The sequence below is a fragment of the Homo sapiens genome, chromosome 11 (genome assembly GCF_000001405.40).
Source record: "Homo sapiens chromosome 11, GRCh38.p14 Primary Assembly".
NCBI lineage: Eukaryota > Metazoa > Chordata > Mammalia > Primates > Hominidae > Homo > Homo sapiens.
In genome coordinates this window covers 90,223,051-90,242,041 of record NC_000011.10, presented here as the reverse complement: position 1 = coordinate 90,242,041, position 18,991 = coordinate 90,223,051, and the positions used below count along the sequence as shown (strand labels likewise).

The 18,991-nt window shown below is 37.4% G+C and overlaps 1 long non-coding RNA gene across 1 annotated transcript, besides 3 other annotated features; it reads right to left on the bottom strand.

Moving 5' to 3' along the window:
* Positions 668-920: a silencer, noted in NCBI's record as "fragment chr11:89974290-89974542 (GRCh37/hg19 assembly coordinates)". NCBI's record gives its function as "represses an EF-1alpha promoter that drives an FKBP-Casp9 reporter gene in an ReSE screen in HepG2 liver carcinoma cells {active_cell/tissue: HepG2}" and the evidence as "EXISTENCE:reporter gene assay evidence [ECO:0000049][PMID:32094911]".
* Positions 1,547-1,841: a silencer, noted in NCBI's record as "tiled region #337; K562 Repressive DNase unmatched - State 1:Tss". NCBI's record gives its function as "represses a minimal TATA promoter and a strong SV40 promoter by Sharpr-MPRA in K562 cells {active_cell/tissue: K562}" and the evidence as "EXISTENCE:reporter gene assay evidence [ECO:0000049][PMID:27701403]".
* Positions 5,557-18,883, bottom strand: LOC124902812 (uncharacterized). The gene is made up of 2 exons (XR_007062978.1): positions 18,622-18,883; positions 5,557-6,879 (listed from the first exon to the last, which is right to left on the bottom strand). It is a non-coding gene; the product is annotated as an uncharacterized LOC124902812 (long non-coding RNA).
* Positions 13,496-14,002: an enhancer, noted in NCBI's record as "NANOG hESC enhancer chr11:89961208-89961714 (GRCh37/hg19 assembly coordinates)". NCBI's record gives its function as "activates a minimal SCP1, AML or CMV promoter by ChIP-STARR-seq in primed H9 embryonic stem cells {active_cell/tissue: H9 hESC(primed)}" and the evidence as "EXISTENCE:reporter gene assay evidence [ECO:0000049][PMID:30033119]".
* Positions 18,884-18,991: the final 108 nt, after the last annotated feature.

Below are 18,991 nucleotides of genomic sequence, written 5' to 3'. Positions count from 1 at the left end.
AGTACAAAAAAAAAAAAAAAAGACACAGAGATAAGGAAAACTACCTATTTCTTGTCTAAATGCAAACCAGAAGAGAGTGAGGCAACATTTTTAAAATAATAAAGGAAAAACGTGATAGCCTAGAATTATATACCCTGTGGAAATTCAAAAAGACTGGCAAAATAAAGAACTTTTAAGATATAAAAAAGCTGGGGCCGGGCATGGTGGCTCATACCTGTAATTCCAGCAATTTGTGAGGCTGAGGTGGGAGAATTGCTTGGCCCAGATGTTTGAGTCCAGCCTGGGCAACATGGCAAAAACCCATCTCAAAAAAAAAAAAAAAAAAAAGCCAGGCGTGGTGGTGCATGCCTGTAGTCCTAGTACTTGGGAGGCTGAGCGGGGTGGGTCATCTGAGCCTGGAGACAGAGGTGGCAGTTAGCCAGGATTGCATCACTGCACTCCAGCCTGAGAAATAGACAGAGTGAGACCCTGTCTCAAAAAAGAAAAAAGATATAAAAAAGCTGAAAGATTCTTTCACCATAGAAGATTACTATGAGAAATGTTGAATTAGGTACGGAAAGCAGAAGGAAAATGATATCACATGAAATCCACCACTGATACCCTTTCTTCCAGTTGATCGAATCAGCTACTGAGGCTTGTGCATTCGTCACGTAGTTCTTGTGCCGTGGTTTTCAGCTCCATCAGGTCCTTTAAGGACTTCTCAGCATTGGTTATTCTAGTTAGCCATTCGTCTAATTTTTTTTCAAGGTTTTTAACTTCTCTGCCATGGGTTCGAACTTCCTCCTTTAGCTCGGAGTAGTTTGATCGTCTGAAGCCTTCTTCTCTCAACTCATCAAAGTCATTCTCTGTCCAGCTTTGTTCCCTTGCTGGTGAGGAGCTGCGTTCCTTTGGAGGAGGAGAGGCGCTCTGATTTTTAGAGTTTCCAGTTTTTCTGCTCTGTTTTTCCCCCATCTTTGTGGTTTTATCTACCTTTGGTCTTCGATGATGGTGATGTACAGATGGCGTTTTGGTGTGGATGTCCTTTCTGTTTGTTAGTTTTCCTTGTAACAGTCAGGACCCTCAGCTGCAGGTCTGTTGGAGTTTGCTGGAGGTCCACTCCAGACTCTGTTTGCCTGAGTATCAGCAAGGCAGGCTGCAGAACAGCGAATATTGGTGAACAGCAAATGTTGCTGCCTGATCGCTCCTCTGGAAGTTTTGTCTCAGAGGAGTACCCGGCCGTGTGAGGTGTCAGTCTGCCACTACTGGGGGGTGCCTCCCAGTTAGGCTACTCAGGGGTCAGGGACCCACTTGAGGAGGCAGTCTGTCCGTTCTCAGATCTCCAGCTGCGTGCTAGGAGAACCACTACTCTCTTCAAAGCTGTCAGACAGGGACATTTAAGTCTGCAGTTTTCTGCTGCCTTTTGTTTGGCTATGCCCTGCCCCCAGAGGTGGAGTCTACAGAGGCAGGCAGGCCTCCTTGAGCTGCGGTGGGCTCCACCCAGTTCGAGCTTCCCAGCCACTTTGTTTACCTACTCAAGCCTGGGCAATGGCGGGTGCCCCTCCCCCAGCCTCGCTGCCGCCTTGCAGTTTGATCTCAGACTGCTGTGCTAGCAATGTGCGAGGCTCCGTGGGCGTAGGAGCATCTGAGCAAGGCACAGGATATGATCTCCTGGTGTGCTGTTTGCTAAGACCATTGGAAAAGCTCAGTATTAGAGTGTGAGTGACCAGATTTTCCAGGTGCCGTCTGTCACCTTTCTCTGACTATGAAAGGGGATTCCCTGACCCCCTGTGCTTCCCAGGTGAGGCGATGCCTCGTCCTGCTTTGGCTCACGCTTGGTGCACTGCACCCACTGTCCTGCACCCTCTGTCCTACACTCCCCAGTGAACCCGGTACCTCAGTTGGAAATGCAGAAATCACCCGTCTTCTGCGTCGCTCACGCTGGGAGCTGTAGACTGGAGCTGTTCCTATTCCGCCAACAACAACATGGCACATGTATACATCTTTAACAAACCTGCACGTTGTGCACATGTACCGTAAAACTTAAAGTATAATTAAAAAAAAAAAATCCATACAGGAAAATAAATGAAACACAAAAAGACAAATACTGCATTAACTCACATGTGGAATCGTAAATAGTTGAACTCAGAAGCAGTAAGTAGAATGGACTGGGGTAAGAGAAATGGCAAAATGTTGATCAAGCAGTGTAAAGTTTCATATATGTAAGATTTATAAATTCTTGGGATGTAATGTACAGGATGGTGGCTATAGTTAATAATATTGTGTACTTGAAATTTGCTAAGAAAAGTATAAATTGTTATCACAAAAAATGGTAACTATGTAAGGTTATAGATATATTAAGTCGATGGTGGTAAATATTTACATTTTAAATGTATATTAAAACATTATGTTGTACATTTTAAATATATACAATTTTTATTTGTCAATTATACCTCAATAAAGGTGGGAAAAAATGCCCTCAAAGAAAAATTCAGGCCCAGAGGGCTTCACTGTGGAATGAAAACAAAACTTTTCAGAAAAATATATATTTTTTTCACAACGTCTTTTAAAATTAAAGATGAGGGAATACTTTCCAACTCATTCTATATGTCCACTATTACCCTGTTAGGAAAACAAAAAAAAAGACACTAATAAGAAAAAAAAATTACAGATCAATATCCCTCATGGCCATAAATTCTATAATTCTTCAGAACATGTTACAAATCTAATTCAACTATAAGTGGAAAAGGCAATATATCATGATCATGTGGAGTTTATCCTAGGAATGTAAGGTAGGCACAACATTCAAAATTTAATCAATATAATTCACCATACTAACAACTTAGAAAAGCAAATTCATATGATCATTTCAATATATGCAGAAAAAAGCATTTAACAAAATTCAATCCTGTTTCATGATAAAGTCTCTCAGCAAACTAGAACTAGAGAAAAATTCTTCAACTTATTAAGGAGTAACTCCTGAAAAACCTACAGTAAACATGATATTTAATGGTAAAAGACTGAGTGCTTTTCCTAAGATCAGTAACAAAGCAAGCATAGCAGACCACTTCTATTCAACATATAGGTGGAGATTCCAGTCAATGAAATATAGCAAGAAAAGAAATAAAAGACTATATTGGAAAGAAAGAAGTTAAACTGTCTCTATTCTCAGATGACATGATTATCTATTCAAAAAATCCAATGGAGTCTATAAAAAGTAACTGCCCTAATGAGTGAGTTTAGGTTTCAGGATAAAAATACAAAAATCAATTGTATTGCTATATACAAGCAACAAACAATTGGAAACAGAAATTTCCTGAAGTCCTAGCTGTTCAGGAGGCTATTTAAGTACAGCCTGGGCAACACAGCAAGACCTTGTCTCTAAATTATTTTTTAATTTAAAAAAATTATATCTTTATAATCACATTCAAAGTTTTGGAATATTCAAGAATAAAGCTTACAAAAGATACGCAAAACTTATAAACTGAAAACTTTAAAATGCTAAGAGTAATTGAAGACCACTGAAGTAAGTTTAGAGATACACCATGTTATAGGTGGGAAGTCTTAATATCGTTATGTCAATTCTTCCCAAACTGATTCAAGATTCAACACAACGGCAGTCAAATCTCAGCAGGCTTTTTGTGAACAATCAACACATAAGATTTCGGTGACCAAATATGGGGATTTCTCCCAACCACCAAGCAAGCAAGCAGTTCTACGAGGAGATTCTAAAATCCACATGAAAAGGCAAGTGAACCTAGAATAGGCAAAACAACTTGATAAAGAAGAATGATTTTTAAGGGCTAACACCTGATTCAAAATTTATTATTACTTCATGTCTATCAGAAAGGCTAAAATTTTTAAGGATATAAAATGCTGGCAAGGATTTGGAGAAAATAAAGTTCCAACATATTGCTGATGGGAATATAAATGGTCCAGTATTATGGAAAACAGTATAGTACTTTCTTAATTAAACATGTAATTCACCATACCAACTTACCATATAACTAACTTATGATATGACCCAGCAATTATACAATTTCATTTATATTCAAGAGAAATGAAAATTTATGTTCCACAAAAAAAGCTGTATATGAGTTAAGTCTTTTTAAAATCTTGTTTCTGATTTTTTTTTTTTTTTTTTTTTTGACGGAGTCTGGCTCTGTCGCCCAGGCTGGAGTGCGGTGGCACGATCTTAGCTCACTGCAAGCTCCACCTCCAGGGTTCACGTCATCCTCCTGCGTCAGCCGCCCGAGTGGCTGGGACTACAGGTGCCCACCACCACGCCCGGCTAATTTTTTTTGCAATTTTAGTACAGACGGGGTTTCACCGTGTTGGCCAGTATGGTCTCGATCTCCTGACCTCGTGATCCGCCCACCTTGGCCTCCCAAAGTGCTGGGATTACAGGCGTGAGCCACCACGCCCAGCCTCTGATTCTTAAGTTCTGTTATGTAATTTCTGTTACTCTAATTCTGATTTGTGCTGTTCTTTTGTGTCTTGAATCATTTTCTTAAAGTTTTTCAGCCCATTTTAAAACATTCTATTAAAGTTGTGTTTATTTCTTGAATATGCCTTTCCAGTTATTCTGTAGGATTATTATTCTACTTCTTATTCACACTTTTTTCTCATGGTAGATTCATATGAGATTTGATCTTAATATCTTGTATCTCTCATTTTCATGTGAAATTATTCTTTCTGGGCTATGTGAAGAGATTCTGATTTAGATAGCTTTTTTTTTTTAATAACTTAATAGTTTCCCTTCATCCATTTTTTTTGTGTGTGTTGTTAAAAAAAATTGAGTTTGTTTTCTGAGATTCTCCAGTTCTCTCTCTAGCGCTTTTATCCGGCCCATCTTCTTTTTGCTCTGTCATCCTTATTGTGATTCCACTCCAAGCAGTTCCTCGTTAGATCTGAGCCCTGCCCTGGGAGGAATGCCTGTTGGTTCAGTTTGAAAGTTAATAGGAAATAACCAGTTTCAGCTCCCTGAGGCCTTACTATGGGTCCCTTGCACTCAGCCACTTTTACAGTGAACTAAACCCATCAGTTGTGTTACATTAGCGCTTTTGTTTTGCTTTTGTAAATATCATCCATAGGCTTTGGTTTTGGTAACTACCCTGTTCCCATGCAGTGATTTGGAAAGATCCAAAATCTATACTTCCACGGATGTTACCATATTTCCCAAATCCAAACCCAAACTTTCATTTTTGATGTTTTTTTTCATTTGATCACTTTAAAGATGTCATTCTATTGTTTTGTGGCTTCCATTGTTCTACTGAAAGCTATGTGAGTTTAGACGTAGCTTAAAACTTTAAAAACAAAAACTGTTTTTCGTCTACTCTCATACTGCAACAATCAACACATAAGATTTCAGTGACCAAATATGGGGGTTTCTCGCAACCACCAAGCAAGCCATCAGCTCTATAGCAGACACCACCTGAGTGCCCTCCAATTCAATTCTAACATTGTCTGTCAGCAGCATCAGATCCCACAGAGACCTGCTTCAAATTTAGCTTCCTACAGCACCCTTTTTGGGTTTGATTAATTTTCTAGCATGGCCCACAGAACTCAGAGAAACACTTGTTACCTTTACCAGTTTATTGGGCAAAGAAAACAGATGAAGAGATGCACAGGGTGAGGTATGGGAGAAGGGGAGGAGCTTCGACGAGTGTGTCACTCTCTAGGATCCTCCACGTATTCAGTTATCTGGAAGCTCTCCAAACCCAGTTCTTTTGGGGTTTTATGGAAACTTCATTACATAGGCATGATTGATGAAGCTATTGGCTTTTCATGATTGACTTAACCTTCAACCCCTCTATCCTATCTGGAAGTTGGAGATGGGGCTGAAAGTCCCAATCCTCTTAATCATGTCTTGTTTTCTTCTATGACCAGCCTTCATCCTGAAGCTACCTAGGGGCTACTAGCCATCAGTAAACTTGTTAGTATACAAAACAACATCACTTTGGAGATTCCAAAGATTTTAAGAATTATATGCCAGGAAACAGAGACAAAAGCCAAGTATATAATTTACACAATAAATTTTTTCTTGATCCTTCTTCTAGCAGGACTTTGAATTGCAAGCACTGTGAGACTGAGGGAGATCTTCACTCTACCTTTCCGGTGTAGCTCCCATATTCTTGTGCCACCCTTTCACTTAAAAAATGTCCCTTAGAGAAAATTCAATGTGTGTTGTGAGACAAAGTTGCAAATGTAAGAAGCCGTGTTTGTTCATTTCTGCTTGCCAGCAAAATTTCACAAAGCCCTGACTTTGTAATGATATGCAGCTCTCCAGAAGGATGATTTGAAGATAAAACAAGGATACAGCACATGGACACCACATCTCTTGCCTGAGTCACTACATTCCTTAAAAGATAAATGACCCTAGTCCTTGCCTTTTCCTACACATAAGACAACTTCTGACACGGTTAGTGATTATGCCTCTGTAATCCACAACCAGATATACTCTTGCACCTAAACGGTGATATGATTTTGCTTTAATGTAACTTCTGAGCATATACTTGTAGCTGGCTGAAGTGCGGCTGCTTGCTGCTCAGAGGCCGAAAACTCAAGAAGTGAGGTGTGGTGAGAGGAAGGCAGTTTTATATATCAAATGCTACCAACTGGGAAATGGCCAGACTCATATCTTTAAAAGACCATTTTAGGTCTTCGGCTGAGGGGAGGGATTTAAAAGTAGAGGCTTGGCATGAAAAATACACAGAAGTAGTACAGGATGCAGGTCTGCATGTCTTGCTGCAAATGCTATCTTGAATTATTGTCCACCTGGAGTTCCAGCTGGTACTATGTCAGTTGTAGCCAGGTTGCAGATAACCCATCTTGAGGTAATTTCCAAGTGGAAGAGAATCCCACAACTGGGCTTCCATGCTTGGCTTGTTGTAAAATAAGTCCCTGGAATTTTTAAACAAGCATACAGTTAGATAAGCGTGCGTATTTTAAGGGAGTGTCTGGTGGGAAAGAGAGGAGAGTTTCAAAGTACATTTCAAGGCTATATTTTAAGACTAAGAAAAAAATGTTTCTACAGTCTATTTCAGGGTTACATCTTAACAGTAGAGAGAAAGGAGAAAAAAGTTTTAAAATGAATTTCATACATACTGAACTTTCACAACCTGTATATAAGTAATGAACTGAAACACTGTTTTGGAGCAGGCTGATAGAATCTCCCCAAAAGACTCCTTTCAGGCTATAATCATCTACAGTCCTCAGTAAGGCTTGTGAATAAAACTAACTTTAATTCTTTAAAAGCTTTATTTTTCTTTCTTTAGTCAACAATGTCTTTGGTTTCTCTGGATTTCAGTTTGTCATGCCAGCCCGTGCAGCAGTTTTTAGAAAGCTCACTTTGTTTGTTTATTCATTTAGCTAAACTTAGTAGAGCTTTTCTATCTATGGCAAGCTCAGTCTTAATCCAGTGACCTCAAAGAGGAAAGACTGATTAACAATTCAACTAGGAAGAATTCTTGTCTTTAAAATTTTAGTTGATATATAAGCTTCTTTGCTTCTACACCTATGCAATGTCTTTAAAAATATAATCTTATGATGTATTTCTTTTTATAGTTGTTGAAATAGAAGAAAAAATAGCTTGCCACTACCTACTATATTTTAATACAAAATAAAATTCTCTATGATCCTATCTTGCTTCTTTTTTTTGGAGTGGATCATTCTACTTAATCTGTCAAAGGCTAAGGGGTGTTCTAATATAACCCATTATTATTGTATTTCTATCTGTGTTATATATTTATACACATTTTTGGCTCATTTTGAATATTATATTATTGAGTATATAACGTTTAATGAGACGGTAAAACATTTTTATCTTGGCTACTGATAGTATAATGCTGCTCTTTTCAGGCTTCCATTGTCAATTGCTACATACTCTGTCTTTTCTCTACAGCTTCTGCAAGGTCTCTTTTGCTTTCGCTACTTTACAATTTTAAAAATATTGTAATTTTTTTCTTTCTGCTTGAGATTCATTGAGATTCCTGACTCTGTACTTACTCATCTATCATTTCTGGAAAATTCTTACCAATTATCTTCTTACATACTATCTCTATTTTACTCTGCCCTGTTCCTTCTCTGATTACACAAATATCTGACTTTCTTAATCTCCTCTTGTATTTACCTTTTTTCTGTATTTTCAATTTCTTTTTCTCTCTCTTTTGCATTCTATGTATTTTTTTCAGTTCTATATTCCAGTTCAAAAATCCTTCTTTTGGGTGGGTCTATCAGCTATTAAGCTTATTCATAAACTTTTAACTATATATATTTTTATTTCTGGCTGTTTCTGATTCTTTTTCTTTTTCATTTTTGAAGTTTGTTGTTCTTACTTACGTTGTCAGTCCTTTTTATTTCTTTAAATCTATTGTATTTGATAAATTTCAACCCTTTAGCAGTTTAATTCCACTATTGTTTTGTTAGCTTTCATTCATGGTATTTTATACTTTTTTTTTTTTTCATTGAGAGCTCACATTTCCTGCAACTTTATCTATTGGTATCTTTTGAGGCCTAGCTTGAAGTAGGTGCATGTAGAGAGAATGTATATTGCTTTTATCAGGCAATTTAAAAAGAGCACTTCACACTAAATTTTTACTTTAGAGTTTTAAAAATATTCTTAACAATCTCTAGAGTGTGAATCTTGACTACCAACCTGAGTAAAGGTTGGCTTTTTTCCTTCTTTACTTATACCTGAGATGTGAAGCAAGCAATGCTCCTGGTAGTCTTCTATAGAGGATGAAGGAAAAGAAAGAGAAAGAGCAATGTAGGTTTATATTTCATTTTTATAGCAGGGATATAGCCCTTTGCTTTCCCAGCTTAATAAAGGAAGGGAGGGCAAATTTTCTCAACAGTTCCACCTCAGACAGATCCAGGAATGTTTCTCTTTTCTCTTGCTCTTGGTGACAACTTGAGCACAAGATCATTTCAAGATGACAGCCATCCTCAATGTTTCAGCTTTGGAGCTAAAGATTGCTCTTTCTCATAGTTTTTGTCCCCTGAGTATTTCTGATGTTCTTGCATTGGTGAATGTATAAAAAGTTTTAAAGAATTGTATCCCATGTTTTAAATTGTTTTCCATGGGACAGTTGATCAGGGTACCTAGTCTGCAAAAGTACTGAATGCAGAAGCTAGCAACATATATGACATGACAGTTTTGAAAAAGTCCACAAGTATCCAAAGAGGAAACACTGATAACCTATAAACAAAATTTACTCTGGCTTCCAGCTTCTCTTTTGCAATACCAAACATCCGAAAATAGCAGTTATACCTAAAGAAGAATTTTGACAGAAAGTGATTTTGACCCAAAATTTGATGTCCAGGTAAGTTGTCATTCAAAAGAGACACCTTAGAACTAAAAGAATTCAGAAACAACATCACTCTAAAGTTAAGAAACTGATATGAGTAAATTATGGTATGTTGACAGCGGTTATTAAAGCAAATTAAACATATGACTAAGTAGAAATATTGCAGATATGGTCACAAAACTGAATATAAATTACAAAAATTATTTCCAAAGGGGATATATAACATGAAAGCTATTAGTTTAATATTAATAATGTGATTTCAATTCTCCTCATTAATAAAATCTAAAAAGAGGAAAGAGCTATCAGGAGAAATATAACATGAATTTCTATTAATTAACCTGTAACTGGGAAACCAGTATTATATGCATTAATTAAATTTAATCCTCATGGAAACTCAAACAGGTATTAATTTTCTCTTGCTCCTGTACTAAATTACCTAAATTATAGTGGCTTGAAAACAGACAAATGTATTATTTTACAACTCTGTATGTCAGAAGTCCAACACAGGTCTCACTAGGCTAAAACAAATGTGTCAAAAGGACTATGTTCCTTTTTGGAAGTTAGAGAGGAAAGTGTGTTTCCTTCCCTTTCTAGCTTCTAGAGGCTACCCACCATTATTGGCTTGTAAACTGCTTTCTCCATATTCAAAGTGAGCAACAGTGAGTCGAGTCCTTCTCACATCACATCACCCTAACCTCTTCTTGTATAGCCTCTCCTACTTTTTAGGAAGCTTGAGATTACATTGAGCCCATTTGGATGTCCAGGAAAATCTCTATTTTAATGTCTACTAATTAGCAATCTTAATTCTATCTGCAACCTTACATCCCCTTTGCCATGTAACATAATATTCAGAGTTCTAGGAATTAAGGTATACAAATTCTTGGGTAAACCTTATTCTACACATCACATCTGGCCCTCTGGCTGCCAGATTAATGTTACTCCAAATGTTTGCTCCATCTCAAGGTCCTCAAAATTTCTGAACCCATTATAGCATCAATTCAAATCCTCAGATCTCATCCAAATCTCATCATCTAAATAATCTAAATTAGGTGTGGGTGAGATTCTGGATATGATCTACCTGGTAGCACAATTTTCTTTATCTATGGACCAATAAAACTAAAGAAGTAGACAATATTGAATTCATTTTACAAATAAGACATCGAAAGTAAAATACCTTTCCTAAAACCACATCCTTATTAAGTGTTGGAGAGTCTAATCTGTTTTCAACTCAGAAGTTCATAATATTTTTAATCATTTCACTATCTAGAGAACACAACCTCCTAAATTCTTCATTTTACAACTGGGGAGTTTAGAGGGTATTAATTCACCAGGAAATAAATAAATCAGATATTGGAAAAGGCTTTAAATATTTATATCACTCAGAAGTAGTTTAAGTCAAGGACAGATATGGATAAGACCAAACTGATGGAAACCATTTTCAGTTGCTTTGGAGAACCTTATGATACTGGTATTGTGGTAGGCTAAATAATGCCTCACCCTCACAAGATGCCCACATACTAATACTTGAAATCTATAAATATTATACTTAGTTTTGGAAGTATAATTTTGCAAAATAGACTAGTTGATGATCTTATTCTTTTATGACTTTGACTGTGTCATCCTATTTCTGTTTGGACTACAGTGTTTTGGAAATGAAATCATGTGTTAATCTTACAGAGAATCCCTTATATGTGGAGACCCATTTTTCTCTTACTGCTTTCAAAATTCTCTCAGTATTTTTGGCTTTTGACAATTTTATTATTTTGTATATGTTCATCTCTTTGAGTTTGTCTTACTGGGGGTTCCTAAATTTTTCAGATGTGTACATTAATGTTTTAACTACATTTGAGAAGTTTTTAGTTATTATACCTTCAAGTACTGTTTCTTCCCCTTTTCCCATATTCTCTTCTTCTGTGACTCTAATATGTGTATGCTGGTAAGCATGATACTGTTCAATTAGTCTCTGAGACTTTATGTATCTTTATTTATTCAGTTTTTTTCCTGTTCCTTAGACTAGATGATGTAAACTGACCTATATTCAAATTCTCTTTTTCTACCAGGACTAATCTTCTATTGAATCCTTATAGTAAATTTTTAGTTATTATACTTTTCAATTTGAGAATTTTTACTTTTTATTTCTTCATTAGTAATATTTGCTGAGACATCAGTCTCTTTGTTTTTTAGAATTAGTTTCTTCTATTTCTTTGAACATATTTATAATAATTGATTTAAAGTCTTTACCTATTACGTCCAATATCTACCTCAGGGACAGTTTATATTGCATGCTTTTTTTTCTTCCTGTATATGAGCCATTCTTCTTATTTACAAGACATAATTTTTTATTGAAAACTGGATATTTTATATAATATAATGTGACAACTCTAGAAATCAGATTATCTCCTCCCAGCCTTTCTTTTGATTGCCATTTATTGTTGTTGTTGTTGTTGTTATTATTTATCTCCTGGACTAATTCTGTAAACTCTTTATTCCCTGTTATTTGTGGCCACTGAGTCCTCTGTACAGTTAGCTTTGTAGTTAAGCTCGTGATTGGACAGAGATTTCCTTATATACCCTGAGTGAATAAGCTGTATATTATTTGTTGAGAGGCTCTTTGTATGTATTGACAGGCTCTCAATGTTTTGATAGTTTACAATTCTGCATTAGTCTTCCCTTCCTGCTTCAAAGGACCTAAAGTTCAAGTAGAGATGAGAGGATGGAACTTTCTCAGATCATTCTTTTACATGGACACAGCCCTACTCATGGATGTGGCTTTCTTCACATTCCTTAGGAATATGTCAGTGTTGTTCAAAGATTCTGGTGTTATCTCACTCATAAACTCTTCCATTTACATTTTTATTGGCCAGCTTCTTATTGGCCTCAACTCGTATAGTCTCCTCAGGCAGCTGCCATGTTAAACAATCACTTTTGATTGTTTTCAGCAAATGTCCTAGAAACAAGATTTTTCCCAATCAACAAGCTTTCAGTAAGTCAAAACGATCACAAGCCTTAAAAATTGAGCTTTTCCAAGGAGCTGTCAGATGGGTCAATGCTTAGACAATGCCATTCTGCCTCCTCTTGTAGCTTCTAGAATTCCACTTTACATACCTATTGTTGAGAGGCTGCTGGATTTTATACCTACCATTTAGGTATAAAGAAGAGAATGGAAATAGGGAAATTAAAATGTCACACAATTTGTTGTTCTTACCAATATTTAGCACTTTTGTTGAATAAGGGCTCTTTGGATTATTGCATGCCTTCAGTTAATTTTGAGATTTCTGGAAAAATCACATTAATGGAAAACTCCTTTCAATTATTCCTCTTTGCCCTAAGGATAAAAGCCTTTTAATCATCCTTACAGCTGCCTCTCAGGCTGCCTGTGTTGTTGGGCCTCTGTCTACCTTTCCAGCCTCAGATGGTGTTATAGTTTAGATATTCGCCCCCATCCAAATCTCATGTTGAAATATAATCCCCAGTCTTGAAGGTGAGGCCTGGTGGGAGGTGTTTGGATTATGGGAGTCCATCCTTCATGAATGGCTTGGGCCATTCCCTTGGTGATAGGTGAGCTCTTGCTCTGAGATCTGGTGGTCATTTAAAAGTCTGTGGAACCTCCCCTCCCCAACTCTCTCTCTCTTTCCCTGCTTTTGCCATGTGAAGTGCAAGCTCCTGCTTTGCCTTCTACCATGAGTAAAACTTCCTGAAGCCTCACCAGAAATTACGCTTCCTGTAAAGCTTGCAGAACCATAAGCAAATTAAATCTTTTCTTATAAATTACCTAGTCTCAGGCATTTCTTTATAGTAATGCAAAAATGACCTAATACAGAAAATTAGTACTCAGAGTGGAGTATTACTATAAAGATACCTGAAAATGTAGAAACAGCTTGGAAATTGGATAATGGCCAGAGGTTAGGATCACGTGGAGTATGTCTTTCTAGAGAAGACAGGAAGATGAGAGTAAGTGTGCAACTTCTTAGAGACTGCTTAAATGATTGTGACCAAAATGCTGATAGTGATATGGAAAATGAAATCCAGGCTGACTAGATCTGAGATGAAAACGAGGAACTTATTGGGAACTGGAGCAAAGGTCACACATGTTATGCCATAGGAAAGAGTTTGGCTGCATTCTGTTCATGCCCTGGGTATCTGAGGAAATCTGAACTTGAGAGTGATAACCTAGGGTATTTAACAGAAGAAATTTCTAAGCAGCAAAGTGCCCAAGATGTGGCCTGGCTGTTTCTAACAACCTTTGCTTAGATACAGAAGCAAGGAAATGGCTTAAAGTAGAAATTTATATTTAAACAGGAAACAGAGCATAAAAGTTTGGAAATTTTGCAGCCTAGCCATATGGCAGAGAAAGAAAAAGCTTTTTTGTAGAGAGGAATTCAAGCAGGCTGTGGAGCAACCACCTGCTAGATACATTGGCATAACTAAAAGGGAGCCAAGTGCTACTATTCAAGACAATGGGGAAAACAACTTGAAGTCATTTCAGCGAACTTCATGGCAGCCCCTCCCATCAGAGGCCTTAGGAGGGAAGAATGGTTTCATGGGCCGAGCCCTTGGCAAACTACTCTCCCCACATCCCAGCCACTCCAGTTCCAGCTATGGCTCAACAGGGTCCAGGTACAGCTCGGGCTGCCACTTTGAAGGATGCAAGCCATAAGCTTACATGGCTTACATGAGATGTTAAGCCTGTGGATGTACAGAGTGCCAGAGCTGAGGTTTGGAAGCTTCTGTGAGGGTTTCAGAGGATGCATGAAAAAGCCTGGATGTATAGGCAGAAGCCTGCTGCAGGGGCAGAACCCTCACAGACAACTTCTACTAGGGCAATGTGGAGGGGAAAATATGGGGCTGGAGCCTCCACACAAAGTCTCTAATGAGCACTGGCTAGTAGAACTGTGAGAAGAGGGCCACCATCCTTCAGACCTGAGAATGGTAGATCTATTAGCAGCTTGTACTCTGTACCTGGAAAATCCACAGGCACTCAATCCCAGCCCATGAGAGCAGTTGGGGGAGTTGTACTCTGCAAAGGTATAGGGGTAGGGCTGCCCAAGGCCTTGGGAGCCCTCTCCTTGCACCAGTGTGCCCTGGATGTGGAACATAGAGTCAAAGGGGATTACATTGGAGCTTTAAGATTTAATGACGGCCTGCTTGGGTTTTGCCTTGCATGGAGCCTATAGCCCCTTTCTTTTAGCCAATTTCTCCCTTTTGGAATGGGAATGTTTACCCAATGCCTATACATACCTATTGTATCTTGGAAGTAACTAACTTGTTTATTTTACAGGCTCATAGGTGGAAGGGATTTGTCTTGTCTCAGATGAAACTTTGGACTTTTGAGTTAAATCTGGCAAAGGTCAAGATTTTAGGGGATTGCTGAGAAAGTATGATTCTATTTTGCAATGTGAGGACATGAGATTTGGGAGGGGCCAGGAGAAGAATTATATAGTTTGGATAGTTTTCCCTGCCCAAATCTCATGTTGAAATGTAATCCCCAATCTTGGAGATGGGGCCTGGTGGGAGGTATTTGGGTCATGGGGGCGCATCTCTCATGAATGGCTTGGGCCATCCCCTGGGTGATGAGTGAGTTCTCCAGTTGAGTTCACATGAGATCTGATCATTTAAAAGTGTGTGGCACCTCCCCCACCACTTGCTCCTGCATTTACCATGTGAAGTACAAGCTCTCATTTTGCCTTCTGCCATGAGTTAAAGCTTCCTGAGCCCTTCCTGTATAGCCTGCAGAAATGTGAGCCAATTAAACCCTCTTTTCTTATAAATTATCCAGTCTTGGGTATTTCTTCATAGCAATGCAAGAATGTCCTAATACATCTGGTATCCCTTATTTCTGAGCATTGGTTTACCTCGATGATTCTGTGCTTTCTTTAATGTTATACTACCTTCCATTGCAGGACTTCTGTTTAGACTAACACCTATGCCTGCACTCCAACTCAAGATTAGGCAAATTCCCATCTCCACTAACTTAGCATAACGTACTTCCCATTCATAGCATTTATGGCAATTATCAGTGATTGAATTCATAATTGGGAATATTTGATTCACATCCGTCTTTCTTATAAAATTCAAATACAACGAAGACAGGTAAAATGTCACTTCAGTTCACCACTGTATCCTGCATCTAATGTACCAACACACATTAACTACTTAATACATGCTGAAATAAATTAAAACCTATATATATATTTTTTTTTTAAATCGTGGACAAAATAAAAAAGCAAGCACATACTTTATTTAGAAAATAGAATAAAATAAAAGCAAGGAAGCAGACACAACTGCATATAAAAGGGAAAACAAAAGTGAAATAACCAAATAGGACTAAACATCTAAGTTGACCATTTTCATTGCTAAACTTTTGTGAAATTATCATTCAGTGCTTACACTAGACTATATGTTTTACATGCATTGTTTAACTTAATCTTCACAGCACTCTGTTATCAATGTTTTACAGATAAGAAAACTCAGGCTTATTGACGTTAATTGACTTATAAAACCATTAATAAGTTCTGGGCCACTTTGGCACCTGAACTTTCAAGCATTAATCAGAAATAAAAAGGTTAAGCTTCTCTGCAAAATAAAAAGATTCTCGGATTTGAGTTAAAAAAAGAAAAACAAGATGCAATCTATCTGCTGCTTACAGCAGATATGCCCAAAACAAGATGACACAGGTTAAATATAAATGGATAGGGTGAGGTTTATTAGGCAAAAACAAAGAGAAACATAGCAAAAGTTGAAGCATTAATATCAAAGTAGGTTTCAAGACAAAAATACAAAATGATACAAAGAAGGTCATTTTATATTAAAAACATAAACTATGTAAATACGAAAGACATGCACCTTTATAGGATGAATAATATATGTTCAAAATACAGAAACCACAAACTGCTCAACACACAATCATAATGGATGAAATTTTCATCTTTCGAATAAAGTAGAACAAATAAAAATAGTCATTGTTAAGTTGGTTTTTTGTCCTCTTCATAATGTTAACTATATCAAAAATGAGTATGTATTTACATTTTCAAAACATATCTAAGAGTATAAAGTAAAATATTAACTTTACTCCTTTAAACTCATCCTTGTCTTTATACATATCCGTTATTATAAGAGATTAATGGTCTTTTCAAATATTATTTTATACACGTACATGGATACATACATATCTATAATCGTTTTTAAGATAATGGAACTTAATTATTATTTATTTATATTATTAATTAATTTTTTTTTGAGATAGAGTTTCGCTCTTGTTACCCAGGCTGGAATGCAATGGCATGATCTCAGCTCATTGCAACCTCTGCCTCCCCGGTTCAAGTGATTCTCCTGCCTCAGCCTCCCGAGTAGCTGGGGTTACGGGCATGCGCCACCATACGCAGCTAATTTTTTTGTATTTTTAGTAGAGACAGGGTTTCGTCATGTTGGTCAAGCTGGTCTCAAACTTCTGACCTCAGGTGATTCACCTACTTTGGCCTCCTAAAGTACTGGGATTACAGCCGTAAGCCACAGCACCCAGCCCAAGATAATGGAGCTTAATTAAACTTAACTGAATTGTTTTAAGAAATATTTTTAAATGCAGAAAAAGAGAGTAGTATGATAAACATTCATTTTGCACCAAGAATAATTGACAATTGTTTTAAGTTAACATATTTATTTAAGTCTTTTGTTAATAACAAGATAGTCAAAGTTAAAGCATATTTTGATATGTATGGGGGTAAAGAAGGAAGGGAAGATATATTCAAAGTGTATATAAAATATACATGTAAATTCTAGAAAGTTTTTCAAACAGTGGGTGTTAGTCAGCACTGAAGTGTTGGAATGGAAATGTAAGTGGAGGTGGGATTGAAACAGGCTGTTGCTGTAACACTGTTTTTCTTAATCATAAGAATGATTTAATTTTATAGTTTCTCAAAATACCCAAGGGAGGAACATAAACTCCTATATATAACACGACTCTTTTTAAACATATATATCTATAAATGCTTGGGGTGTCAGGAAACACTGAAAATAAATTTACCAAAGAGTTATTTTAGCCATTCAGTACTTATTGCTGGGTGGTGGAATTATTGTTGACTTTGTTCTTAGTATACTTCTGCGTTTTCCAAATTATCTACCATAAGCAATTATATTCTGATTGTAAAATGCTACAGATGAAAAACTAGAAATAAACATTAAAATTATTTAAAAGGTTTAGTTCACTAACAATCCTGGTAATGTTGCATTGATACTAGGATACTCAAGACAACAGATTTGGTCACAACTAAAACTTTTTAGAGCTCTCCACTTACTCATTTCCAATTGTGTATGATCAATTTCTACGGTCTATTACATTCACAGCCGGTGCAATTGTAAATTGGTACCACCTTTCGGAAAGCAATTGGCTCTATATATCTTTAAAATCTTAAAGTTATTTAAAAAGCCTTATGCCCTTTACCCCAGAACTGTCGCTTTCCAAAAATTTTCCTAAAGGGGGAAATTCGAAATAAGAAAAACAATACACAGGTTGAGCACTGTAACTTATATATAATAAAGTTGGGGAAATTAGAGAAAGGTTAAATTACAGTGCATTTATTCAACAGAATACTCCGTCATTTGTAACAATGACTATGAAACAAAATAGAAAAATACTCACGTTAGGTTAAATGAAGAAAACATACCTATCTATGGTGGATCACAATATGAAAATTTAATACTTCTAGGTAGAAGAAGAGAAAGAGAATATGAAAAACTAAAAAGTCTTTAGGGGTAGGAGGACGTGAGCAGATCTCTAAATAACCTTGAGATCAATGGAAACAGTGTATAGATTTTTAGGTTCACTTATAAGCTGCTGATCTTATTTTAAGATCCTTCAGTATATGTTATCAAAAAGTGTTTGCTTTTCTTGCAAACGCCCATGTTTGGGAAATATGCAAGTTGAAGCCAATGCATTACTGTACTTTTTATAATGCACCTGAAGTTTTACTAGCTGTTCCAAGAGTGGTGTACTGAGTATTGATAAATCGTTTAAGTGGAGGCTCACATGAAATATTAACTATTACCCCAGGGCTTTAGAGCAACTGTGATCAATTCTGGCACAGCATCAGATCCATAATTTTCTTTGCTACTCTGATTTCTACGTTTTTTGTATTTTCAAAGTAATGTGACCGCAACTGTTAAGTTATTAAAATTGCTCCTGAGATGAGGGCACTCGAGACACAAACACACGGAGAGGTTCGTCCGCTATTCCTCTCATTTACTAAGCTCACACGTCTACCCTGAGGATTTGGAAACACTGTATGATTCTGCACTTACTGTGCACTTATCCCTTAGTGCTAAGGGGTAAACAGATACCCACCGGGCTGTCTAAGGCGCAGCCTCAAGGCAAGGAAGAAGGGTGCTGGGTCGCAGGGGATGAGAGGGCGGGGCGGCCACTTTGCTGCAGGAGATACCCAAAGCCAGTTAGCACTGAGGAAGTCAGAAGAGAATTGTCAGTCTCTCGGACACCTTCATTTTCTGCCCCGGAAATTTCTCCTCCGCTGTTGTCTGGGCTCCACTTCCGACCCCCAGTTGCTACCAGCTGTAGTCCGACCTATCGTGGCCCGGGCTAGTGCCAGCCTCCCGCCGCTACCTCCGCCTCGTCCCTTCTCCTCTGCGCCTGCGCGACCGGAAAATTCGCGAAGGTTCCTGAAACGCAACGGATCGTTTCCGGAAGCCGGTAGCCGCCT